The sequence below is a fragment of the Homo sapiens genome, chromosome 7 (genome assembly GCF_000001405.40).
Source record: "Homo sapiens chromosome 7, GRCh38.p14 Primary Assembly".
Lineage (NCBI taxonomy): Eukaryota > Metazoa > Chordata > Mammalia > Primates > Hominidae > Homo > Homo sapiens.
Window position 1 is genome coordinate 88,756,610 of NC_000007.14, and position 27,266 is coordinate 88,783,875.

At 36.9% G+C, this 27,266-nt stretch overlaps 1 protein-coding gene across 1 annotated transcript in view, besides 1 other annotated feature; it reads left to right on the forward strand.

Annotated features, from left to right (window-relative positions):
- The first annotated feature begins 3,090 nt into the window (after positions 1–3,090).
- Positions 3,091–27,266, forward strand: part of ZNF804B (zinc finger protein 804B) — a 578,829-nt gene continuing 554,653 nt past the window's right edge. The window contains exon 1 of the mRNA NM_181646.5: positions 3,091–3,475. Coding sequence (NP_857597.1) covers positions 3,368–3,475 — 108 coding nt within the window. The 5' untranslated portion in view covers positions 3,091–3,367. The remainder of the gene's footprint in view (positions 3,476–27,266) is intronic.
- Positions 3,237–3,781: an enhancer, noted in NCBI's record as "H3K4me1 hESC enhancer chr7:88389160-88389704 (GRCh37/hg19 assembly coordinates)". NCBI's record gives its function as "activates a minimal SCP1, AML or CMV promoter by ChIP-STARR-seq in naive H9 embryonic stem cells {active_cell/tissue: H9 hESC(naive)}" and the evidence as "EXISTENCE:reporter gene assay evidence [ECO:0000049][PMID:30033119]".

The following is a 27,266-nucleotide window of genomic DNA, read 5'->3' on the forward strand; positions in this document are numbered from 1 at the left end:
ACTTGGTTGCAGGCTGAAGTCCATGCCCTTTGCCATTCACATCCTCTTCCATGGAATGAGGACTCATCAGATAAAATATTGTTTTAAATAAATGGACCTTGTGAAATTGCACATGATATTTGCTTTTCATAATGTTTGCTGTAATAGAATTTTACTCGTATCTAAAACTCATTTGGCATAGACATATTTCCAATTTTCTTTCACTTTTCACTGAAAATTTTTAATTACTGGAGTTGGAAAGAAAGTATCTCTTTTAGTAGAGAGAAAAGTTAATACAACTGAGCAACTTGATATCTTTAGCAACTATGTAAATAAATATACACATCTTTCTTTTATTTACATTTGGTGAGCCACATCTAAAATATATGCTAGCAAAACTGGGGAGCTGTGAAATATGACGACACCACACTGATAGATATCAGTCACAATCTGGCAAGGAAAAGAAGGGAGTTGCTTTCATTTTCTGTTTGTTTTTAGAATTATTCTTAAAACTAGATAAATGTGACAATTGTGCCAATTTTTTGCCTCAATATTTTAAGATGAATGGCAAAAATTAGAAAGAAAAGGACAATCTAATGCTTAAAATATGGCAAATGAACAAATTCTGTATTATCCATTTCTAAAGGAAAAGTATTTCGAAATTTAAAAATTTTTAAGAAATTCAGCAAAATTACAGTAGTCTTTGAAACATTACTATAAAAAGTAGATTATTTTGTTTCCTCTGGGAAAAACTCAAATAGACACAGGATAATGGTCTAATGAACAAGAATGTCAGGATAGCTAACAAGTACTTTGAATAAGATATAAAACAGAATAGTGTGTTTGAATTTTATATTTTGATTACTCTTATCCATCCTTCCATTTTATAAAAATATGGCTGATTCGTAAAAATAATTAAGCAGTATTAGGAAGTATATTTGCTCAATGAAGAAGACATAGTACCCTTGGGCTGTTATTTACAGAAATGACATCATTCATCTTTCTAATCCATTCTAAGTTGCTTATGCGTTGGTCCTCAATGCTGTTTGCTACCTACATTTATTTATCCAGAGTGAAATAGTAACTATCAACTGAGCCACACTATCTTCTTCAAAAATTCCACTTTATTCATTTTTTGGTCAATATTTCACCTATTTTTGAAGTTTTACTATTTGCAAATACATTGTTTTCTTTGTATAAAATACATCTAATGTCTATACACTAGTAATATTACTTGTTCTCAGCTTCAGGAAACACTTTACAGCTGTAAGTTGAACAAACACTACGTTGTTAAACATGCCATTGTTGTGGTGTTAAATACATCAATAGAAAGGAGAAGATGGATCTGTTGCATCTGCTGCCACTGCTCTATAAATTTATTTTTATTTCAAAAGTTCTTACCAACAATTTATTTAAAATAAACAATTCCTGAGATTTACATTGCACTATCCCAGTTTCAGTAATTTTTATTCTGAAGGTTTGCAAGGAATTGGCATTTTTCCCTTATATACTCAGAAGCTTTGCAAACACTTTAAAAGACTATATAAAACCTTTAAAATGAGAAGTACATCTATGTATTTTTTAAATAAAATATTAAGGATATTAAGCCATTGTAATGATGTAAACAAAAAGTCAAGCTTTTATTGGGTAGTTACAAAAGTTATAATTAGATTCTTTTTTGTTCCTTTTTTGCTTAAGAATTTTATGAGTTGCCTGAATAGGAAAAATTAAATTAACAGTTTTTTTTTCCTTTTAACCTGTTTCTGCTTTTGTGTCAATGTCAACCGGGATGCGAATGGGGCATTGTGGGAGACAGGAGAGGACAATACTGGGGAGAATTAGCGCATTGGCGGTAGCCTTTCAATTCCAGCGCTGAAGCAACAGACTGAGAGGAGGTGAACCTTTACCTTCTCCCAGGCACAGACAAGGCGAGGTGAGGCAGAGATGGATTGCAGAACCGCATTAAGCAACCGCGGGGTGGAGGAGAGTGCAGGGTGTCTCCAAACCCTGGGAGGGCTATCTTCTCCTTTCAGAGCACATTTCTGCCCAGGTCTTTTTATTCTCAGTGCAGCTCGCTCCCTGGTGGCTTAAATTACGGTAAACGAAATAAGGTCCGTTAAAAACCACTTCTGAGAGGGGTGATTATTGGGGGTTTTGAAAGCACAGAGGTCTTATAGAGACCAAAAATATGTGCCTCGCTAAGATACAGAAAGGCTTGTAAGTGAATCTTCATAACTCTGGGTACGTGCATGTATATGCACATATACGTATGCATGTCTCGTTTCTATACCTTATATAAGTTTTCTGCCCAAAACTTTCCTCGTCCGTGCGTTCCCTACCACGGCGCATCTAATCTGTCTGCCCTATTTGTGGCTGCACAGCTCATTCTTGCAACCGGCTGGGGAGCTGTTGCTTCTGCCAACGCCGCCGTCAGCCAGAGCGCTGAAGAAAAGCTGAAGGCCAGCAGGCAACGAAAGAGTAAAGAAAACGCCCTCCTCCTGCCCATCTCCTCCACCACAGCCTCCCCAGTCCTCCCAGGTGACTCCCAAACAGTAGAAAGTTGGCTCAGAGATAGGGCAGAAGAACCGGGGGGCTGGGCGGCTGAGGCCGGGAGGTGGGAGAGGCGGGTCCTGCAGCCCCGAGAGCCCCCCGCGGCTGCAGCGGCAGCTGTCACCTCCTGGCCTCGCCCCACAGCACACCTGAGCCTCCTGGGCAGCCCCGAGCCCACAGCTCCCAGCAGAGGCGCTAACTGCCCTCCTCAAGCACAGGTCGCCGCGTCCCCAACTCCCTGTCCTCACCCCGGCCCGCCCGTCTCCTCCTCCGCCCTCTCCCGACTGCAGCGGGGGCAGCGCTTTGGCGCTCCCAAGGACTCCCCGCCACTCTCCCCACAAAGCAGCGGCGGTGGCGGCGGCTGCTGCTGGATCTTCACACTGCAGCCAGCAGCCCAGGACGCCCCCGGCCGGACGATGGGTACCCGCGCCTGAGCATCCCCCGGGCAGGCGCCAGGCGCGAAGGCAGGGGGCGGGAGGAAAGGGGCGGGGGAATTCCTGATTCCCTGGTGGACCCTGGAAGTTGTCCTTAAATAAATATATCGCTGGCCCGCGGTTGAGCAGCCACCTCGTCAGAGCAGCATGTGGACTGGCTCGCCGGGTCCCCTCCGTGCTCTGTGCTGTCGCCGCCGCCGCCTCTGTCAGAGCAGCAGCTGTCGGCAGCAGGAGCCCCGCACGGGGCGCGGAGCAGGGACGCGCTGCCACCGCCTCCCCCTGCGTCCTGCTGGCCGCGTCTTCTCGGGAGGTGGTAGTCGCTGTTGCCGCTGAGAAACCCGCCCGCTTTCCACGGCTGGTCGCCTGGTGAGGAGTTGAGACTCTGCGCCTCCGCCCGGACCCACATGGCTTGTTACCTGGTCATCAGTTCGAGACATCTCAGCAATGGGCACTACCGGGGCATTAAAGGAGTCTTCAGGGGACCCCTGTGCAAGAACGGATCTCCCTCTCCGGTAATGTGCGCGCGCACACACATACATACACAAACGTTCCAACTCAACACAAACAAAAAGATATTGAGAGATAGTATCCTGATACAATGAGTAGGTGGTGGACATCTAAAACGTATACCTTATCCATAGGTATGGAGATACATCGTGTCCGTTTATACAATTTATTGACAGACTGTGACACAGAGAGGGGTGTGTATTTACATGTGTATTTTCAATTCAGTCAGTAGGATCTATAGTGCTACGGATGTAAATACTTACTGAATGCAGTCAACTGCAGGGCTCAGAAGGTAGCTCCTCTGTGCTATGTCAACTTACGAATCTGCTGATTTGAGCAGTGTAGAAAGTTTGAGTGGCACGTTATAATGTGCTTTTGTAAAGTCATCAGTTGAGATTAGTTTAATAATGCTACTGTTACTTTGTGAGAAAAACTCAAAGATTTTCCCTCAAATCATTGGCAAAAGGAAAGTTATAGGTAGTGAAAACTTGATTATATCTAATGCTCAACTATGCACATTCTTTAAGGGGAAGTAAGAGAATTCTTTATGGAAATCTGAGTTGGATAATTTATTGTATAATATACAAATATATTAACATGCAATTAACGTGATTGCTTTTTAACTTAGTAAACTATTCAATTTAGTTACTATTCAGTTTATTCACATTCTTTTTATAAAATAATTTCATCCAGATTATATGAGTTAAATACATTATTAATTCATTTCTTGGTACATGCTATTATGTTTTAAGGCTCCAAATATGTTTCAAGAAAATGTGTGTGAATGTGTATGTGTGTGTAATTTATATATATATATAATAAATATATATATAATAAATATATATATAATAAATATATATATATATTAGTTTTGGACTACTAGTGACTAAGTATCCAAACTTAAAGACCAACTTTTGAGGTTTCATATAAAAAACAGTATTTAAGTCTGTATGATATCAAGAGGGAAAACTGAAATTGCCCAACTTTAATTTTTTTATGTTTGATATTTTCCATCATGGTTTAATGCTTCTTTAGCATGAATTATTCAAAACTGCAACATATTATAAAAGCCTTTGATTATTAATAAATGCTATATGTAATTTACATGAGAAATCTAAGATCAGAAAGTACAGGTGCCCAGAGATATCACTAGGATTCCTCATGACAAACTATTCCTTCACATGCTTTTATGTACTATAAAAAGTGGGTTGTTGCAACTGCTCCCCCCAACAACTGTATACAGTACTGAGTCAGAACTGTTAGATGGAAAATACTGTTTGTATAAGTACTTAACAATTAAACTCACAGGGTTAGCAGGCACTTGCAGAGTTCTAGTTTAATAAAGCCCACATTCAGTCCCTCTAAGTAGCAGGTCTGAATCTTTCCCATTTCTAAAGATTCTCAGAATTGGAGTTCCTGCAGTCTCAGCAAACCACTTTAATGTTTAACAACTCACAGTGCCAGGAGAATCTTTCTTACAGCCAACTTAAATCCTTTAAATTCTTCTTTAAGTCTATTTCATCTAGAAAACATACAATGTTCTGCCTTTCTCACAGGTATTATTTTTCAACGCTTTGGTAATCTCCGTGCCTGTCTCCCTTGCCCTCCTTTTGGTTATGGAAAACTAAATTGGGTAGGGCATTGTACTGTTTGTGCCTTAAGACTTCTCAGTATAAAGGGAGAATTGCTTCATAATCTTACACGGTTTAGTTCTATTCAAGTTGGTTAGACTATGGTGTTCATCTTCCCAAATCTGTAGGGCTTGCAGAAGAATTTCTGTTACATGGTCAAAAAGTGTCCTTTCTCTCCCACTTTGGTCAGTCATCTCCCAAGAGCCTGACTGACACTATAGAGACTGGATGTGTGAATGTGGATGGGAGAAGACAGCCCATTGACCACATGGCTGTGCTGGTTGACCAGGGTTCACCAGGTACTCCCCACCCTCAGGGCACTATTTTTATTCACTGCTGGGCTGGTTTTTACTAAAGTACAAATTAATTTACTTTGTTATCTAGGATCTACACTTTGACTCACTGGAAGGTTCTCTCCAATATTTATTTACACATTTGGATGTACTTAAATTACATATGCATCATTTAAAAATATCTAAATTAAATGATATATGTACTTTCTCAACACTATTTGATTTACTTGGTCTTCTTTTACATTTTATTATGGAATTTGCATGGCTTTTTCAATATTTGAATAGTTTCTCATGTGAGCTGGGCACTGTATGAAAATTTGTGTTTATTCATTCTCTATCATTGGCAGGTGGTTGAGATGAGTCTTCCAACAAGTTGAGGTCCTCTTCCCATTACATAACACTTAGCCTTTCTCCCTAAGGTGAAGTGGATCACTACCTTCTGGACCTTAGACCCTTACACACTTGAAAACTTTCCTAATCTAGATAAATGTGTGTTTGCCTTCCTTACTAATTAATTGCAAAATATGAAACTGTAAACTGTGGTTATAGATCTTTTTTTAATTCAGCAATACACATTCCCCAGTTATTTTCAGGTTGACATAACTTTATTGATTTTTTTCCTTTAGTATAAATGTTAAACTCAGAGATCCATAAAATACATTCATCTATTTCCTTAAAAAAACATAGCTACTCTGACTTTTTTTTTTTTTCAAATTTAGTGCCAGGAATGACCTAAAATTGACCTTTACATCAATGACTTTAATTATTTCCACTCACTGAAACTCAGTTTATTTAGTATAGAGATATTCTTAGTTGACTTAACTAACTTTCACTAAGATTTCCAATACTTCAACTTTGGTCTTTGCCCTTTTTATCCAAGTGTCTCTCCTATTACTTTTGCTCCACATTTTTCTGTTTTATTAGAACTGTTTGCATGTAGAACATGGTCTTAATATTCAATAAAACAATTATTGGTTAAGACTACTTTCTACCTCTGCTACAGAAAGGAGAAAGCTACAATCCCTTTTTGACATAATAAGGATTTCTTCTTTTGTAGTTCTGATATTATGGATATCTGATATCTGGATATTATGGATAAAACATTTCACTTTCCTATAGACATAATTCTTCAATTATATAGGTAAAGTAGTTGTGTACATTTATGTTCAAATCACATGTCTGTAAAATCCAAACATGCAATTTTAAGCTAAAAGTAAAAAAGAATGATTATATTTATTTCAAAGGATTTAATTTAGAAAACATGTTGAATCATTATATGGAATTGTTGTAATAAATTCTTAATGAGTTATTTGAGAAATAAAGCATTTTACCCCCAAACAGTTTTTGCAGATCAGTAAACTGAAAATCCCAGAGTGAAATTCAGCTTCTATCTTCAAAGTGAAAACATGGTAATGTCTTTTATCTATTGCATCTTTCTTCTTTTTAGAGACTGTGTGTGAAAAAATAGCATACTGCTTTTTAAACCTAATTAAAATGGGAATAATTGAGTAGAGATAGTTTATACTACTTTAAATCCAGGGACATATTAAAGAAAGTAAAAAAAAAAAAGAAAAATGAGAGAGGATTTTATGGTGCTTAATGATAAAAGTCTCTATTTTTAGAAACTGTGCATTTTCTAAATTCTACCACAATTTATACCTATCCCCGACTCTATCTAAACTCTAAAATAATATGACTACATGATGACTTTAAAAATCATTATGAGATACACATATATACATTATAGACAGAAAAATAGATAGATAGATAGATAGATAGATACACATTGCTATCTGTGCTCAAGCCAAAGAAGTTTTTTATATATTATGTTATATAGTCTTCTACCATCAAATATATTAATGGTAAAACTTTGTTTTAATAATTGGGAGCACTTAGGGGACCCAGCAAGCCAGTCCACATGGGCTGCTCTGAAAAGTTGGCTGCTCAATTTAATAATTAAATTTAATAACTTAATCAGTAATTAAGCTATTCATTGAGAACATAGTCTATAGATTAATTCAGTGTTCATGAACTTCTAAGTTCTATCACCATGTTTGAATTCAATAAAACAAATAGCTTCTATGTAATAAGAAAAATATATTTGACTTGACTTTTAGTTATGTGATCTGAAATAGCATCTCAAGTTTATATTCGAATGTAGTGCCGTTAATAGTGAGACTATCATTCGGGATACCTATTGATTACATGTTAATAATAATGGTAGATATATATTTTATCTGTGGTACATATTTAGCTTATTATTACTCTTTTGAAGTTTAGATAAGGTTATATTTCTTAAGAAGTGCTTATTCCTGGGAGCACCATAGTTAGACATCCTGGAATATCTTTTTCTGGGAATGCCTATTGTCTTAATGCATTGGGTATAAAGGAAATTTTGGGGATTGTCATCAAAGTGAAAAATCAGGGTCGCTGAATGTTTTATGTTATCTTATCTTAAGTTGTATAGCTGATTAAATTGGCTAATAGGAGGATGTGGAATATAAACAAACAAGCATTTTAAATGGACCAACAATCTGCTACAGAATTCTCTTGATAAATTACAAATGTATATCTATAAATGAAAGAAGTTCTAGAAGAGATGAACTACCTTGAAGATACATCCATCCATCCAGAGAACTTCTTAAATGAGGAAATGAGTGCAGTTAAACCCTTGTCCTTTTTTTCTAATGCCTATAATATCTGACTGTGTATATTTTCATTATGCCTAATAAATACACATTAAAGACTTTCAAAATTGCTCTTAAAGTGATGCACTTTTCAAGTGCAAAATATAATTATGAAGACATGCCCTCCTGTAGAGAAGTCACCTGCATCCTCTTCTTGAATTCATGAATGCATAATACTACCTTTCATGTTGGAATTTTCAGACGTTTTCAATAAAGACGACTTAGTTACAATTCTTATAATACATGTTCTCTTTTTTATGTCAAGTATCATATAAAGCAACCTCCTTTCTTGTAATTGCCTTTACAGCCATTTCTTCTTTCCCCTAACTGATTTCAATAACTTTTTAGTTAGCACCTATGCTAGTTGGTACCTTCCAGAACCTAAACAAATTTGTGTTTATTTGACTTCAGAAAGTTTCCATATTAAGAAGACTTAAATAGGTATTTGAGCGCTATAATTTTGGCTTTTATTAGATTACACTACATTTATTTCATAATTGAAATTAGAGGGCTCATATACCTTGATTAGTTTCTTTTAGATATATGACTAAAATGAACTCTCTGTTTTAGGTTTCTGCTCCATAATTTGGAACTAAAATAAAAATGAAACATTTTGGTATCATGGGTAGGCTAAATGTGCATGACATTTAACATAGAACTTAACTATTTGTGACTTAAAAGAAAACATAATGTTAGTTGTAACTGTGAAATTTTTGCTGTATAAAGTGTATGCACTAAAATACGTATTTTTATGTGTTAAGTAATAACAGAGCTTGAAATGCCAGTTGGTTTTAGGCTGTGTTGGAAGCAGACAGCAAGAACAATAATATATATCTCAAATAACTATCAAGTGCCTTTCAGTGTGAAGTTGATTTTTTCAAGATACACATTGTCATAATTCTTTGGTATATATGAACATATTTTGTATAAAATAATTTGAATAAAAATTGAAATAAAAATGCTACTTTGCTTGAAAATGCCTTTGGGTTATAACAAATGTAGTTTTTCATAAAAATTCAAGTAGCCCTTATAAAATGACAGCTGAAAAAGCCTTTTGTAGATTGATTTCACAAATCAGGTTTACTTAGAGAATAAGATCTGGAGAGAGAAATTAAATATTTGATATGTTTTCAAGAAAAAGTGTAGTTATAGTGATAATAGTGATATACCAATTTCCAAGTTACGTAGTCTCTCTTGTTTTGGAAGTACTAAACTTGGAAGGAAATTCTGGAAAAATAAATTACTTTCTACCTTAGACAGCATTTTCAGTTGTAGCTAAGACACTCTAAACTTAATTGAAGATAAAAAAACACAAAAGAGTATTATGGTGTTTAAATTGGAGCAGGACCTGTAATCCCAGCACTTTGGGAGGCTGAGGTGTGAGGATCCCTTGAAGCCAGAGCTTGAAGCCAGGTGTTCTAGACCAGGTTGGGCAACAAAGCAAGACCACATTTCTATAAAAGAAAAAAATCAGCTGGGCTCAGTGGCTCATACCTATAGTCGTAGCCACTTGGAAGGCTGAGGAAGGAGGACAGCTTGAGCCCAGGAGCTGGAGGCTGCAGTGAACCATAATAAGGCCACTTCACTGCAGCCCCCAGGCAACAAAGGGAAACCTTGTCTCAAAAATAAATAAATAAAACATAAAAGGGGGTTTTGATTTGCTTTTTAAAATATTCGCTAATGATATTAATTTTCCTGAGATGACACTCAGATAACATGTATTCAACTAATCTCTTATTTTGTTCAAATTTGATATCTAAATTCTAAACATATACTTCTGAAGAACTGATAATATATTTTTCTCTTCACAGAAAAGGATAACCATATAGTTGAATCATTTTCTTTTCTTCTTTGGCTGGGAGGAAGAGACAAATCTGTGGCTTAGCAAAGGGATAGGAATTGATGTTGGCCTTAAAAGCAACATGATATACCCTTCTCTGCTCATCTCCTGTTCCTAGTCCAGCTCTGATTCTATTTCCAATGACTCTCGTTATTTTTACATTTATATTTTGCTGTTTTAATGTACAAAGTTTCTTTCACATGACTTAGATCTGTTGTGAAAACAAGTTGGGTTGTAAATCAATAATAAAATATTGAATGTCCAAATTAAGGATGCTACTCAGGATTTTGTACTGGACAGCAATGAGAATGATTCATAGAGATTATTCAGTTTGTTCATTTCTAGCAAGTATAATTAGGACTGCCAGTTTTCTTTTTTTCTTTGACAATTGGCAATTTCCTTTTGGCAAATTTTATTTCACTTTTGTGTGGGTGTAAGAGGCAGAATATAGCTTATTTTGAAATGGATATTGCCAGTTTTTTCTTTTCTTAAACAATCTTCTTCCTCTCTATTCTTCTTGCCATCAGTCCTTATTCATTTCATTCACATAATTATCAAGTTTTTCAGCATCTTTTTTTGGTTCACACATAAATGTTGGCATATACTTCTAACTCCAGAGATACTAGCCCTCGCAAATGGTAAGAACTACTCTATTCTGTGCGCTCTTTCACCCAACCTTACAAGTTTCTCCCCTGTTCACCATCCACACGTAACTTTCATCTTTAGTTCAGAATTTACAGCTTTCCCCATATCTCCATTCAGAACCCACCTACCAGTGTTCTTCCCCTGCCCTTCTTCCCACAGCTATTACTCAGCACTTCACTTGTCCTGTGTACTTCTCAGCACCAGACAAATACAGTCAGCTTCCCCTCTTTCCACTCACATATGTCCCTTCCAGTTCTTTATTTTGCTGTGAATAATTATGTTCTCTAACGTCTTCCTTGGCAAGCAAAGGCTATATGCATTTTCTTTTTGTGAATGAAATAAATGCCATATTCCAAACAAAAATGGCCATGGGGCCTCTTTTTTTAAATGACAGGGAGGATAGAGGCATGCCTTAAATTAGACTTGTCCTATTCATTTGCTTCATCTGATATGAAAGGAAGAGGCATGGAGGTGGCCATATTACTTGCATTCACATTCTCTAAAAACGTTCAAAATCCTTGAATAATATTTTAAGTGTAGGTGCATGATCCAGCCTTCACCTACATTTTCAGCTTTCACTGTGTATCCGTCCACATGATTCTACTATTGTCCACTTATACTGAAGAGTTCTTGACTATGACATGTTCGCAGATGTTTCTGCCATTGCAGACGCTGTTCCCTCTACCCCAAAAATTTTTTACCCTTCATTTGTTGGGCCATATCTTGTATATTCTTACAGACTTAACTAAGGAGTTCAGTCCTGCATTTCCTTTCACAGGTCAAGTGCATCTCTTATAGCCTGCCATTACATCCATCAATTGCCATCACATCCATTGAAATCCTTGGGGTAAGTCTGCTGTCATCCTTATGTCTGCAAATATTCTGCCTTATTTTACTCAATAAATATCTGTAGAATGAATGAACGGAGGTGTGAATAAAAATGAATGATGAACAATATATTATTAGATTCTTCATCATTCAGGACATTCCCACTGATACATTTGACAATAGTGTAGCTGGTATGAGGAATATTGGAAATTTCCACCTAGTCATTGACTTCAATGTTTAGCTTATGATTTAAAAACCACTTAAACTTAATGAATTACTGTGAATACCTCTTCTGCAATTTCACTGCAAGAAGCCTCCAGAAAATTGGGGCTAGCTCTACAGTTTAGCTATATATTTATATTGAAATTAGTGAAATTTAAGGAAATCTTAAGTACATATTTAGGCATTAAGAACATTAACTCACAAATATTTGGCTAGGCGCAGTGGCTCACGCCTTTAATCCTAGCACTTTGGGAGGCCCAGGTGGGCAGATTGCCTGGGCTCAGGAGTTTGAGATCAACCTGGGCAAGATGGCAAAACCCATCTCTACTAAAAATACAAAAAGTTAGCTCGGCATGGTGGCACGAGCCTGTAATTCCAGCTACTCAGGAGGCTGAGGCCGGAGAATCGCTTGAAACTGGGAGGCAGAAGTTGCCATGAGCCGAGATAGCACCACTGCACTCCAGCCTGGGTGGCAGAGTGAGACTCTGTCTCAGAAAACAAACAAACAAAACTTACAAATACTGATTTTTATGTGTTCAGTTTCTATGATATATTATACCTAAATGTATTTCTCTCTTTGGGTATTACTTCTGGCCACTGATAGAGGGACAATATTACATGAGGATCAAAAATGAAGGCCCTGGAGTTAAACCTCCTATTTTCGAATTCTAGTTTTGCCATTGACTAGTAATTTTATAACTTCTCTTAACTTCAGTTTTAACTTCTTCACAGTGGGAAACAATGGTTCCTAATATGGTGTTTTGAGCCTAGTGCTTGACATTCATTGAGTGTTCAGTAAACATTAACAGTGATTATTACTCAGATTGTGTGTGTTGATATGTGTGCATGCGTATATACACCTGATGTTGTAGTGGGGGAAAACTTCCAACAAGTTTTATCAAACTCCAATTGGGATAATTATCCTTGTCTTAGTTAATTTAATGATTTCAATAGAAAATAAATAGATTTCAATGGAAATTTAATTAGTATAAATATGTTCCCTTTTGTCCTGGTGGTAGGTCCACAAAGAAGATTTTTCCATAGAGAATTTTTTCCCCAGTTATAATTTTTTAGAATGCAGACTATTCTACTGATGGATTAAGTGGTCACTGTTTTCATGGCAATTTTTATCACTTTAAGATCTACCAAGATCATTTGGTCAATTGCTTTAGGTATAATTTAGTGTCACTTATCAATCCAAATTGCAGAGTGCTTTATTCTATGTAGCATTTCAGAACATCTTTTGCTGAAGGCCACAAGAAACTGAAGACTGGTATATATAAATTGGTGTAATTTGTACATGAGTTAGTTAAGCCGTATTTTTTCATTGGTGGCATATTTAACAGCTTCTGATAAATGAATTACAAGTTAGGAACTTGATCATTTCTTTCCTATTTAGGAGTTTATAGGAGGTACATAAGAAGAAGGAAAAATAGTGTTTTGTAATCTTTTTCTTTTTTTTGAAAGAGAGACAATAATTCCCTGACCAACGACCACTGCAGCCTTTGAGATAGCAACATCCTGGAAAAGCCACAGTGTGGTTGTATCATAATTGTTAAGAATCTCCAATTGCCTGAGTTTATCAGTCACATACTTTTCAGCAAGGTTTTGTTAGCAATTGTCCCTTCTCAGGCCAGTTAGGATGGGACCACAGTATGTAAGAGAAGCTTGGTCTTCTTCTAAATAATAAATTTTATCTAAAATATTTAGTCATCTAGGGTAGACATACAGAAAGAAAGTAATACTCTTAGGAGTGAAGAGAATCTGTTTATTTTTATGGTCAGTTTCTTAATCCAAATAAACTTTTTATCAGTTGTTAATAGATAGTTAAATTCTTTGCCTTATTTATAGAATATAAACATTGGAAAGACCCTTAGCAATCTAGATTCTTTTACCAATCTATATACTTAAATATATCACTATGGTAGGCAGATTAATGATATCCCCAAAGATGTTTATATTTGAGTCCCCAAAACCTACAAATCCAATATCTTACATGACAAAAGGGACTTTCCGGTTATGATTGAATTAAAGAGGATGAGATGATTATCCTGGATCACACAGTGGGGTCCAACTTAATCACAAGGGTCATAAGAGGGAGGCATGAATGTCAGAGAGAAAGCTTTGAGGATGCTATGCTTCTAGGTCTGAAGTTAGAGGAAGAAGTCACAAGCCAGGGAATGCAAGTGACTTCTTGAATCTGGAAAGGGCAAGTAAATGGATTCTCCCATAGAGGCTCAAGAAAAATCACAGCCTTACTAACATGTTGATTTGTGCCCAGTGGAGCTTCTGACCTAGAGGACTATAAGATAATAAATTGATGTTGCATTAAGCCAGTAAGACTGTTAATTCAACCTCACTCAACCTTAACATGGATGAATATTTCCAATGGTGTGGGAGCTCTCTGCTTATCAAGGTGATTTCTTCTCCTGTGAGATGAGTGAATTAATGCCAGTCTCCTGTCTCTGCGCAAATGTCCCTTCCTCCTTCTTTCTTTTACTCACTGGACTTCAGTATGCCTTTTTGAAGCAAGAGTGTAGGGAAACAAGAAGAGCTCTCTGTTCAACATAATATCCCTTTAAATATTCAGAGACAGCTGGTAAATTTCATTGTTAAGACATAAAAGGGACTGAAACATTTGTGAGAACAAAGAACATCCTATGCAATGTATATCACTTGCATTATTTCCTTATAAGTTGAAATTTATGCAATTCGAAATGCTTTACTACACATTTTAATGTAGTGCAGGTTTGAAATATAACATACTGATAGTTCTTATATTCTTGATAAGGTGGTAAACTCAGTACAACACTATCATATATTAAAAATACTGTTCACATTTTTAAATATTGCCTACTTTACCCAGATGTTTCCCTGTCATACCATCTACATCCTGTATCCAGAGGGTAAACAGAAAAATCAAATCATTTTAAGGGGATATTTTAAGGCTTTCTCTTTTGGTTTTTTACTCTTCTGCTTACAGATTTGTGAATTCCTAGGGAAAAAAGCATTAGTTTTAAATAAAATGTGATGTATGAATTGAAGTAATAGCTATAATTTCATAAAATAAAAAAATTCTATTCTAGACATAGTGGCATATAAATGGAAACTTATTTTTAATTTTTGTATTAAAGAATAAAATAATATATAAATTATCACTAATCATATGTGTACAGCTTTTTGATGCCACGAATGTGAACAGAGAACAGTATAGGCCCTGGAAGTTTTATTTTAAAAATTAATATTAAAAGGAATTTTAGTAAAGAACACACAGATTTGCAGCTCAATTGACAGCAAACTATTGAAATAAAGCCCTCATTTCTGGGTGTGGATAGGTAACTGCACAACGTCTCTGTTGCTTCACTTTTCTGTTTCACTTTGACTGGCCAAAGCAAACTTACTAACCACTTGAAACAATTAAATAAGAGAATACTGATTAGGCACAAATGAATGGATTTATGCTAATAAAACATATATATTATATGAAGAGTGACATCTGTGAAGGATTTCATTATCTTTTCCTTAATATTACATGCCAATTTTCAAAGATCTGATCATCATGTAGATTTAGAACTGTTTTGCAAGTGGTTAGGAATGGCCCTCTGTTGAGTTTTCATTACTTGAGAGGAGATATGAATTATGTATTTAATGGCAAGACAGCAATAAATGATTAAAGGAAAGAAACCTGTAGCTTGGACTTCTCACAAAAATGAAATTTATGTGAAAATAATATGTAAACTTTACTACAAAAGTTGTTATACTTCCACAAGCATGCATGAAGATAAAATACAAATTTTTGTCACTATGGAAGCAGGGTTATTGCCAAGAAGATTGTAGATAAAGCCCAAACAATGCTGATTTAAATGAATTTAAATAGATTTAAAGAATTGATCATGTATTTTAAACTACGTTTAATGTTCTTCTTTCAGTATTCATGTGCTACATACTATACGTTTAGGAAGTGTGTATAATATCCCTGGGAGAATCCTTGGTGACCACCACTGATGATTTGCTTTCCTGTCATCATTGAAAGAAGATTTGTGAAATTGTGTTACAAAAAAACCATAAATCTTCTTTATGTGTTTCTTCCAATAGTAGGTCACTTTACTGTGGATTTGTTGTTGTTTTTATATATCACACTCTGTTTAAATCTCTATGATCATCAGGATGCATTCCACCCCTGAAGTGACAGGGCAAACCGGTCTTCCACAGGGAATAGAGAAGGTGAGAAAGCACAGTTAAAGAGAAATGATAATTGGCCTAAAATATTCATAAGGAGTGGACTTGGGTGGATTTACATAGTACATAAGCATCCCTAAGTCTGAAGGTCTTAGAAGTAGACCAAATACATAGTAACTGGAATACAACATGTGATCTGATTGTATGACAAATTTGGGTACATGAAGTTCTAAATTCTTCATTAAGTCATGAATATTAAGCTAGCCCTAGGATTTAATTTCTGATCTTGTTGAGTGCTGTTTCATGAGGCAAGGAAAGAACTGCAAACTCAAAATTTCTTACTCCCGTGTTTGGAAACAACTCAGTAATACTTGACCAGTGTATTTCAGGTGGTGGTTGCTTTATTTTTAAAGCTATGATATCCTTTGTTCAAAGGAAATTCTAGGAGCCAGGCAAAATAGTCATAAGCAGAACTACTTTATTTAAAGGTGGGGGGAAGGTCTTGAATGGTGAAAGCTTCTTCCTTTTCCTCTGTATCTGGGCAGGAAAGGTGCTTTTGGCATAAGCCCAGAATACTTTGATCTGAATAACACTTAGATGGACCATGAACAGGAAGCAGCTGCTGTTTCTAAAACATGGTTAAAATTCATACATCTTACCTGGAGTAATTAAATTAGCTATCTGATACACTGCCAATTAATTCCACCTCTAAGTGTTGATTATATATTAGTTTCATTCTGTTTGCAGTTTTTATGAAAAATGTTAAAGTGACTTTGGGAGCTCAGCCCTCAGGAACTACTGAGTGGGTAAATTCAAGAAAGCACAAGAAATTTTCCCCTGAGCTAAGTGCTCAAGTAGGAGGGGAGGCCCACTTTAAAGAGTAAAGCAGGAATTAGCAGTATGTGTAGCAGAAACCTGGATATAGAACTAACATCTGGAAGAAGCCAAAGAGTTCTAGAATTAAAAACAAAAATATTTCAACTGGGGAGTCCAAGTCATTCATTCATTCTGTCAGTCAGTCAATCAATCATACATTCAACAAGTATTTTTTAAGAGTATATTGTCTGTCAGACACTTGCTGGCCATGTAGCAAAACTGAAAGATAAATCACATTGTGGGAAGAGCAGATATGTTTTACATAAACCAAATAATACTGGGAAGTAACACTACTTGGATAAATGACTGTATTAGGTCATTCTTGTATTGCTATAAAGAAATACCTGAGACTGGGTTATGTATAAAGAAAACAGATTTAATTGGCTCACGGTTCTGCAGGCTTTACAGGTAGCATGGTGCTGGCATCTGCTTGGCTTCTGGGGAGGTTTTAGGAAGCTTACAATCATGGTGGAAGGTAAAGTGGGAGCCTGCATGTCATATGGCCAGAACAGGGGCAAGAAAGGGGGGTGAGGGAGATGCCACTCTCTTTTAAATGATCGGATCACCTGAGAACTCATATCATGAGGACAGCACAAAGCCATGAGGGATCCGCCCCAGTGATCTGAACACCTCTCACCAGGCCCCACTTCCAGTACTGGAAATTACAATTCAACATGAGATTTGGGTGGGGACAAATATCCAAACTGTATCAGTGACCAAACTCCTTTGGATAAAACAGAAAAAAGAAAAAAGTGAGGTAAGGGGCATCTGAAATGGATGGACTGAGATAGTTATCTCTGTTGTCATGGGTCAGTTGACTCATGCACAAAGCACTTAGGTCAGAGTTTAAAATTAATTTAGATCTATACAATTCTAAATTTTTATCTAGAGACTTTTCAATTTTGCTCTTTTGTTTTTTAAGTTTTTTTTTTTTTTTTTTTAATTTTGAAACTTCGGCCACCTCCAAGTGACGAAGGGGATTACAGCAATTGAAAGGCTCCTGTTAATCCTCTTAGTTTGGTTGTGGGGTGCAGCCTATGGGCCAGTACCAAAAGTGTGATCAGCTAGAGGCTGAGGGGATGTTCTAGATGTAAGACTGAGAGGAAAGAAAGCAATAGAGCACTAGATTGGACCTGGTCTAGTGTGAGGTCCAGAGTACCTCTTTTTCATTGGGTATCTGTGTGTAAGAGAAGCACAGTTGGCCCCTGTCCATAGTGAAGGTACTGTTTCTACTCTATGGAGGATTCTCTGTTCCTAGTGGTCAATGCCAGACATTTCAATTTAGATGCTGCTAAATGAAAATATACATTAGAGGTATCTATTCATCCTACTAAGTATTTATTCTTCAATGTGAATAAAGGATCTGGAAACAATTCTGTTAATCTAATACCTCAGGTGTTGGATCTCTGAAAGAAAATGTGGGAAACCACTGAAGAGAATAATGAGAGCTGAAGATGAGTGTTATTGTAAGGTTCTGCTTTGATGGGGTAGGTTTAGGGGCCTCTAAATTGTAGAGACCACAAAAAGGAAGCTCCTAATAGAAAAATGAGGACTTAAAGGAAAGGGCACTGGATGGAAGAGCTCTGTGCTGTTCTTTGTGGAAGACCCTGTCACCAAAGTTCCCAGTGAAAAGCTCTCAGGGGGATTATGGCTATGCCTTGAGGCTGGGTGGAATTCAGATAGTAAGTTTTCACAAACATTTTGGGGTCCTTACTACATACTGGGTACTGTTACAGGTACCGGTGATAGTGAAGTCAACACAACAGACATGCTGTCTGTGTTAGTGGAGACTAAGGAAGATAGGCAACAAACAGATTTTTATTTCTTAATGCCTTATATAAAAATGTATAAGAATTTAAAATTCTTGTGAAGATAAGTAACTGATTCTAAAGAAGAATAAACAGGGTGACCCTACCTAGTCCTAGAATTGGGTAAGACTTCCCAGAGTAAATGATGCCTAATCTGAGACATGAAGAATGAGGAGGAGCTATTTTGGCATAGAGCTCTGAGTCAGGACCCAAGGAATGGTTCTTTGGAGGTTGGCTCAGAGGCCGAGGGGCAACAAGAAAGCAAAGGCTGATAGGTGAGGAACAACCATGCAGGACCCTGTAGGCCCTGTAACAAGGAAATAAGAAAATCATCTCAAGTAGATAGATATATGGCCTTTAATCCAACTACAGAACTAAACGTGATCATTCCATAGTCCCAACAGAAGCTTTTCTACTTCTTCTCAGTCATGCCAAATGAGATAGGTAACCATGACTTTTTTGTTGTTGTTTTTATTATTTGGAACAAAAATCAGAAATAATTTATAAACAAGAAAATAGGAGTTCCAAAGTTGAGTCATCACTAATTTAATTACATGTGCAGTAAATTCAGGATCCATTCCTGTGTATAGCTCTATAAAGTTAATTTTCAGTTCTTCTCTTCTTATAAGAGTCAACAGACGAGGCAACTCTCCTCATTCCTGAAAAGCATGTATGACCACTGAAATATGAGCCCTTTCCAGTGTTGCTTGGTGACAAAGCTTGTCTCTTTCTATATTTATTTAAAATTTGAAAATAAAATTGTGATGTGTGTAGGGCTTTGTGGTATAGTTTATATATGTAAGTTGCCTTGATTCATGCATTTCTGCATGTTGTCCCTCCAATTTTAAGGTGGGAACATGGAAATTTTCCCTTCTTTGTACTAAGTACAGAGAGGTGCTTACAGGTATTGATTTTAGAGTTGGACTGAGCTGGTTTGACCTTCTATTCCAGCTCTGACCAGCTGTGTGACTACTTCACCATTATCAGGCTCAGGTTGTTCACTTGTGGTGTTACTTGTCTTATAGGGCCTTTGCAGGCAGTGAATGAGCTAATTAATGTTGAGGGCTTAACACAGGGTCTTGCACAATAGTAAGTGTACAATGAAAGGAGCTGATGATTACTTTGATCACAGTTGGCTTATTCTGTTAAAAACAGGTTTTCATGACTCCTTAAAATGTTCTCAGTAGTGACGGGGAACTTAAAATTGTTGTATCAAATTGTTGAAATTGTTGCTCTTCTGGATGGCCCTATCAGATCACATTATACTGTAGTTGGTTTTTATTGGGAAGAGAAGTTCAGGCATGAGGGCCAGTTAGCATCATGTTGAGCACAACTATTGCAAATAGCAGCCCTGTGTTTTCACAACTCTCATAATAAAAAAATGTTCAGTGTGTGCCCTACTTTCCTGGTACAGCTTTAATTCAAGATAATGATACATTTGTAGTGGCTTTTCTATTTCTCGTGGTGTTTTGTTTTTTTTTTTTTTTTTTTTTCAGAGCAAATTGAGTTAAGTAGACCAGTTGTTTTCATGAACTTGCTGCCAAGTGGAAGGATTTTTTCTCTCTTTTCTATAAGGCTAGATATTTAATCTAAAACTACTGTCTCTGTGCTGGGAAGCATCCAACCTCATTACTGTTTAAATGTCTTACTGTCTTTGGAAATTCTGATGAACCCCAATTAGTAACCCATAAACCCCCCCCCCCACCCTGTTCACTTCGTTATTTAAAATAAGGAAATATTAGTGCAAAAACATTTGTATCAGTGTCTAGTCAGGATAACAGAAATTATTCTCAGCTTTTCAAACAGAGGTAATCCAATACCAAGTAATTGTTTACCGATGTGTTAAAAAGCCTGAGGGAGAGAAAAGAGTTAGTTGCTATTACCCAGAATTAGTAATTGCAGGAAGTCACTATTGCCCCTAGAGCTGGAAGGGCAAAGGGGAAAGTGGTATAAGCAGTATTATGTGGACCTTACAAGCATGTACCTGGGAGTGCTGCAGCTGCTGCTGAAACCACCTGACCTTTGCTTTGCAGGCATCCATGAGCCCACAGTCCTGCTGGTGCTACTGGACTCACTGACAAGGTGAGCGACTGGTGCCTACAACCACTGGCTGCTGCCATAATGATGCTGGTATTGCAGAGAGGCAACCACTGGCCTGGTGCTGATTCTGCCACCGCCAAAACTCATGAGCGCTAAGATGCTAAGGCAGTTGGACACAGAAGCAGAAGAAAATTAATCATGGCTTCTTTTCTTCTCCTAACTTCCACTCTCCCACCAGTCCTTTCCTTTGGAAGACCCAACCAGAGACCAGCTAGCAAGGGGATCTGGAATAGGTACTTTACTGGCTTCAAGCCAGCAGTTTACAGGCATGCAGTCCCAGAGTAAAGTTGAAAGAGTGAGAATAGAGCTGAATGCTATCAGACAAATACCCAGCACTGTATTTAGACCATTTAATATAAGATTGCAGAAACTGGCCGGGTGCAGTGGCTCACGCCTGTAATACCAGCACTTTGGGAGGCTAAGGTGGGTGGATCACTTAAGGTCAGGAATTCGAGATCAGCCTGGCCTGGCCAACATGGTGAAACCCCATCTCTACTAAAAATATAAAAATTAGCCAGGTGTGGTGGCATGTGTCTGTAATCCCAGCTACTCTGGAGGCTGAGGGACGAGAATAATTTGAGACCCAGAGGCAGAGGTTGCAGTGAGCCGAGATCACACCACTGCACTCCAGCATGGGTGACAGAGTGAGACTCCATCTAAAAAAAAAAAAAAAAAAAAATTGCAGAAACTGAGAGGAAGTGGCATTAACTAATGAAGGAAATTATTTTCTGAATATATATGTATATATCTGTTATACAGAAATCTAAAGAATGGGTACAAATATTTATATTCAACTCACACCTCATGTATTAGTTTCCCACTGCTACTGTAATGAACTACCACACATTTAGTGAAAAAAATAACATAAGTTTATTATTTTGCCATTCTGTGGGTCAGTGTCACTAGGCTATAATCAAGTTATAGGTAAAGCTGCCCTGCTTTCTACAGGTATTCTCTCAAAAGAGAATTCATTTTAATGTTTTTTTTCCAGCTTCTAGATAGAAGTTCCCTACATTCTTAGGCTCATTGCAACCTATCTCCATTTTCAAGCTAGAAACTTCCTCTCATGCTGCCATCTTTATGATTCTCTGTATTGGGAAAAACTCTTTGCTTTAAATAACTCATGGTTCGATCGGGCCCACTTGGATAAGCCAGGATACTCTTCCCATGTCAAGGTCTTTAGTTTTAATCCCATCTATAAAGTCTCTTTTGACATGCAAGACAGCACTCACAGGTCCTGATCGTGGACATCTATGAAGATCATTATTCTGCTTACTATATCTCAGAATTTTAGACTCCTATACATCTGTAGTTATTCACTGGCTATTGTTTTCCTTAGAAATCTCAAACATGTAATCTTTAAAACAAAATTACTCTTCCAACAAATATTCTTCCCCCTTGGTTGGGGACATTGTCTTCATCTAGCAGCCTAGGCTTGAAGCTTGAGAATATTTTTCTGTAGTCCCTCATTAGATTGGGAAATCTGCTAATTTTCATTCCTAAATATATCTCCAATCTACCCCTACCCTGCACTTCTCTTACCACTCCTATATCCTGCCAAGGAAGGCAGGCATTACCCTGAAAGTACTTCTTGATTAATGGTGCCTAGCATTGTACTAGCTGGTGGAGCCGCCGATATGCATAAGGTATCCATGTTGTCTGCTCCAATGGAATGTGCAGTCTAGCATGGAAAGTGCACATTAAACAAATAAATCTGTGGTAAATGTCCATTTCTGATCTTTCTGCTCATGGCTCCCCAGTTCCATTTTCAAAAATTGGGGTTTTAAAATTTCTGAATATTCTAAAGAGAGGACAATTTGTGTTATTTAAAAGTAATCAAAGTAAGTACTTTTTGTGCATGTGTGTCACTTTTCCCTGATTCTGAGATATAAAGATGGCAAAAAAGACTACTAAATGACATGTCAAGTATGGCAATTTAATTTTAATAAAATCCAGCTAGAATGGCTTTAGGGCTCATCTCCATCAATTGTTGTTTAAATGAGATTAAGTTGAAGATTTTAGGCCCCCACACTAGACTTAATGAATCAGAATGTCTGGAGTAGGGCCTGGGCTATGCATTTTAAACAAGTATTCCATGAATTTTTTGTGCCCATTGACATTATGAAATTATTGAACCAATGTCAACTCATGAATAATCCCTGGATTTATAACACTGAGGCCAGAGGATGAGGAAGGTTTCATGGCTGGCTCACTGTCTGTTCTCTCCTTTTTCCGCTAGTAACTCCTGTGAATATTCTCTGTGAAGCTTCCATGGTGACTAAATATCTCCCTAGTGCCCAGTTCACAATCAGAGTAACATGCAGGAAGCACTCACTATATGCCAGACATACGGTGCTAAAGTCAGCCTTTCACGTGTTGTCATATTTAATCCTTAACACAACCTTAAGCTGGAGACACTGTTATCTTTCATTTGCAGATTAAAGATCGAACTTTAACTTCACATTTTACTACATTGCATGGAAGAGTGCTGGGGCTTCATTCCAGGGCTTTCAAATTACAAAGCTCAAATGTGAAACTACTTCTCTGAGAATTGACTATTATTCCCTCTCTGTGCCACCATGAAAATTTTCATATTCTTTTATTACAGAATAATGGCATTTAAATTGTTGATTCACATATCTGTTCTCCTTTCTTCGATTCCCCCAGCAATAGGATCAGTGTCTTCTTTATCCAAGTAAATGATAGCCCTAAGGTGCTACAGGGTCTATGCGTTAGAAGATACTCAAAAAACTGTCCAACTGGTCATTCATTCATTCAATCTCAGCTGATTTAGAGTGGGTCAAAATGTAAATATTAAGTAAAAGTAAAATTTGGGTATATACATAATCAACAAAATTAAAAGATAAAACTTATATGAAAAGGTGTGCAACATCACTGATCATCAGAGAAATGCAAATCAAAACTACAATAAGATGTCATCTCACTCCAGTTAAAATGGCTTATATCCAAAAGACAGGGAATACAAAATACTGGTGAGGATGTGGAGAAAAGGGAACCCTTGTACACTGCTGGTGGGAATGTAAATTAGTACATTCACTAAAAAGAAAAGTTTGGAGGTTCCTCAAAAAACTAAAAATTAGAGACATACTCATATCTTCAGCAGTTAATTTGTATGTATAATGAACTGATATTCAGACTTTTTTTAAGTAAGAAATTAATGGTAAATACTTTTTTGTCTTTTTTTTTTTTTTTTTTTTGAGAGAGGATCTCACTCTGTCACTCAGGAGGGAGTGCAGTGGCATGAGCATGGCTCATTGCAGCCTTGACCTCCCAGGACTCAGGTGATCCTCCCACCTGAGCCTCCTGAGTAGCTGGGACTACAGGTGCACCACTATGCCTGGCTAATTTTTGATTTTTTGTAGAGAAAGGGTTCCACCATATTGCCCACACTGGTCTCAAACACCTGGGCTCAAGCGATCCGCCCACTTCAGCCTCCCAAAATGCTAGGATTACAGGCATAAGCCACTGCATGTGGCCTAATGGTAAAGACTCTAATTGACAATTACAAAAAACTATAAAGACGCTTTCTGAGAACCCAAAGACATCAAAAGTGTGTAAATTCAAAAGTGAAGCAAATACTTTTCAACAATTTTATCTCACGTAAACTGCAAATAATGATATAATTTGAAATCTCTTATCTTTCTTCACAGGAAGAAATAAAAATGTGTATTTTGCTTCCCTTATCATTATGCACTTTTACTTATTTTATAATGTACTAATTCTGTTCATGGGTATGAATATTAAAATCTAATTTATACATCAGGCAACAAGGCACAGTAGTATTATTATCTCATTCTTTTAGGCACATGTAGTTAAGCAACACATTTCTTGTTAGAAACACATAATGGAAACAAAACCCCATAAAAGCGACACAAGTCTATTTTAATCTTAGAATTTGAGTTCTTTAAAAAACAATAAAAATTCCTTCGTATGTATATTAAGCCATTTAATTGAAAGAGTGGAGTAATTTTCTGATATTCACATTATTATTGAAGAATATAAGAAGGGTTTCCATAATGCATACTAATAGAAGTTAATTAAATGATCAGGGTCTGGTTATCTGAATTGGCATTCAAGCGTTTATTGAAGTGTAGCTCATGTTCTTCCTGAGGATATTAAGAGCAGCAGCAGAAGCCTGCTTAAGGACTTACCCTGGGCTTTGACTTGCTAAAACATGTTCTAGAGTATCTTCAGCCTACTGACTCCTTGTTGTAGAGACATTATATATCAGCAGCTTGACTAATTGGTCTAACATTCTTGAGGTCACCCAGGGCTACTGGTCAGAATTCAAAACTTTTTATGTCCTTGTCACAAAGTTGATCATCATAACTGCATTATGGAAAGTGTGGGCCAGCAGACTATATGCCAAACACAGCTTAATTCAATAAACATTTATGGAGTTGCTGATAATTTTCTTATATCATTTATTTTATTTAATATTTCTGTACTCATTCAATTTACAAAATGCTGAGACCCAGAGGCTAAACAAACTACTCAAAGTCACAGTTAGTGAGTGAAAAATCTGAGATTTGAACACAGATCCTCAAATATGAAACCTGGGATTCTTTCTGCCATGTGTGAGTAGGTTCCTTTGAAAATATCCTCAGGTTACTCAGGCTCTTATTAGCTTCAAGAGACAAAAACCCCCGCGACACTTTACCTGACTTAAGCATAAAAGAATTAATTGATTGAGAGGACTCAGGGGTAGAAAATGTCTCCAGGCCTTGGCCAAGATGGGAAAGGAAATTGGGAGCTGAGGTGACTCATTGTTTATAGTCTATTTCCAAATATCTCATCTCTGCTTCTTACTTTAGTTTCATAATTTGCTGCCTTATAAAAGGGCTTTCTACACCAATTTGTAAGTAGTGACTATCCCAGCTTTTGTGTGAGTGCGTGTGTGTGTGTGTGTGTGTGTGTGTGTGTGTGTTGTGTAATAGGGCAAGAGAGGAGAGAAAAAGAGATTGGGTTGGGGAGGAGAGGGTGACAGGGTCACACATCTGTATCTCACTCAGGGAACTATGGAAAGATACACTCTGAGAAAAGTCCATGGGCAGCTCTATCAGAAGGAGATCAGAGGAGGGACAGGGAGGACATAATTAATAGAAATAATCTGCATTATTTATGCAAAGCCTTTCTCGTACAGCACTGTTAAACACTGATAGTTAACCCCCTGGTTCTTCCACTTGATTAGGAGCCATTTTATGAATCTTAATTGGTTTCTTTATTTCAATTTAGTTATATATATACATATATGTATATACGTGCACATGTATTTATATACACTAATATCTCCACCTCTATATAATTATATTTCAAATATGCAAATGTATGTAATTTTATTTACACAGGCATTTTATTTCCATTAATTAACTAGGAGTCTCCTTCATCAAAGAGATATTTTGATGCTTCTTGTAGAAACACACAGTGGGAAAACATTGCCTTATTGTCATTTATAAAGTAATTACTTATGTTTATGCAACCATCACTTGGTTAATATTAGCAGGGAGAACAAGGTAGTGTGAGAAATAAGAAATGGTGCTTCTGTGAGTAGAACTTGCTTAGCTATGGTTTTCCAGCTCCTCTGATATGGTACAGTATTCTGTGTAAATATCTTTAGCAGCAAGCATGGGTGAGTGGTCTTCCTAAGAATCATCGCACAAATAAGCATTTGTGTACAAGAGGACTCTTGGGGGAAGCATCATACTTATTTCAACTTAATATTATGTGAGATCACTAAACATTTCTTCAGTTACAGAATCACTGGCACTTCTGCAAAAAGGCCAAACGTGCAAATGTCAAACTGATAATTACCTTCCCTTTATGTGGTAAAAGGAATATAGAAACTGTGGAAATCATCTCATTAAAAGGTAATATTGAGTACCTTCATAAAAATCATCCTGGTTAAAAATAATTCAAAACTTTGTCTCTTACAGTTTATTATTCAGCTCCCTCACCCCATAAGTCAACCCACTAAGCACGTGGCTAAAGTGCCAGACTTATAAATACTTGAAGTTTTTGCATGTCGTTTGTGCTTTGTGAGATTGTAGAAAGTAACAGTAATGTGTGGATTTTGGGAAAAATTCTATACCCAAAATAAGGCAGTAGAAGTGTAGTCCTGATTTCAAGGGGAGAATGAGAAAGATGGGGACTACCTCTAGCTTCCACACTCCTATTGATTAGTGCTGTGACTTTGGGCGCATCTCTACATGCTTCATTTTCCTCACTGAGACACTGGGCTGGAATAGACAGTATTAGAAGTTCCCTTAGTGTGATGTCTTCATCCATAATATCTTAGAGGTATGATAGTCATATTTCTTAAAAAATAGTACATTTTGAAAAGAGATGCTGATCATTGTCGAAGGTGAGTGATGGGTAAATAGGTTTGTTATACTACTGTCTTCACTTTTGTGAATAAAAATGTTCAGAGAAACAGGGAAAGAGAAACATAGCTGCAGAGAATCGTTACAATAATATGGGAATGGTAAAAGAGTAGATTGAACTTCCTTGCATCTTCCATCCTAAAAAACATGATACGTTAGTTTATTCTAAGAAGTTACTGCAACATAAAATGTGATATAAACGGTAGAACATAGTAGGAAATGGGAACAGAGAAGTTGGAAAAATTTCCAAGGCCCCTTGGGTCATTTTGGTTGAAATGCTTTATCA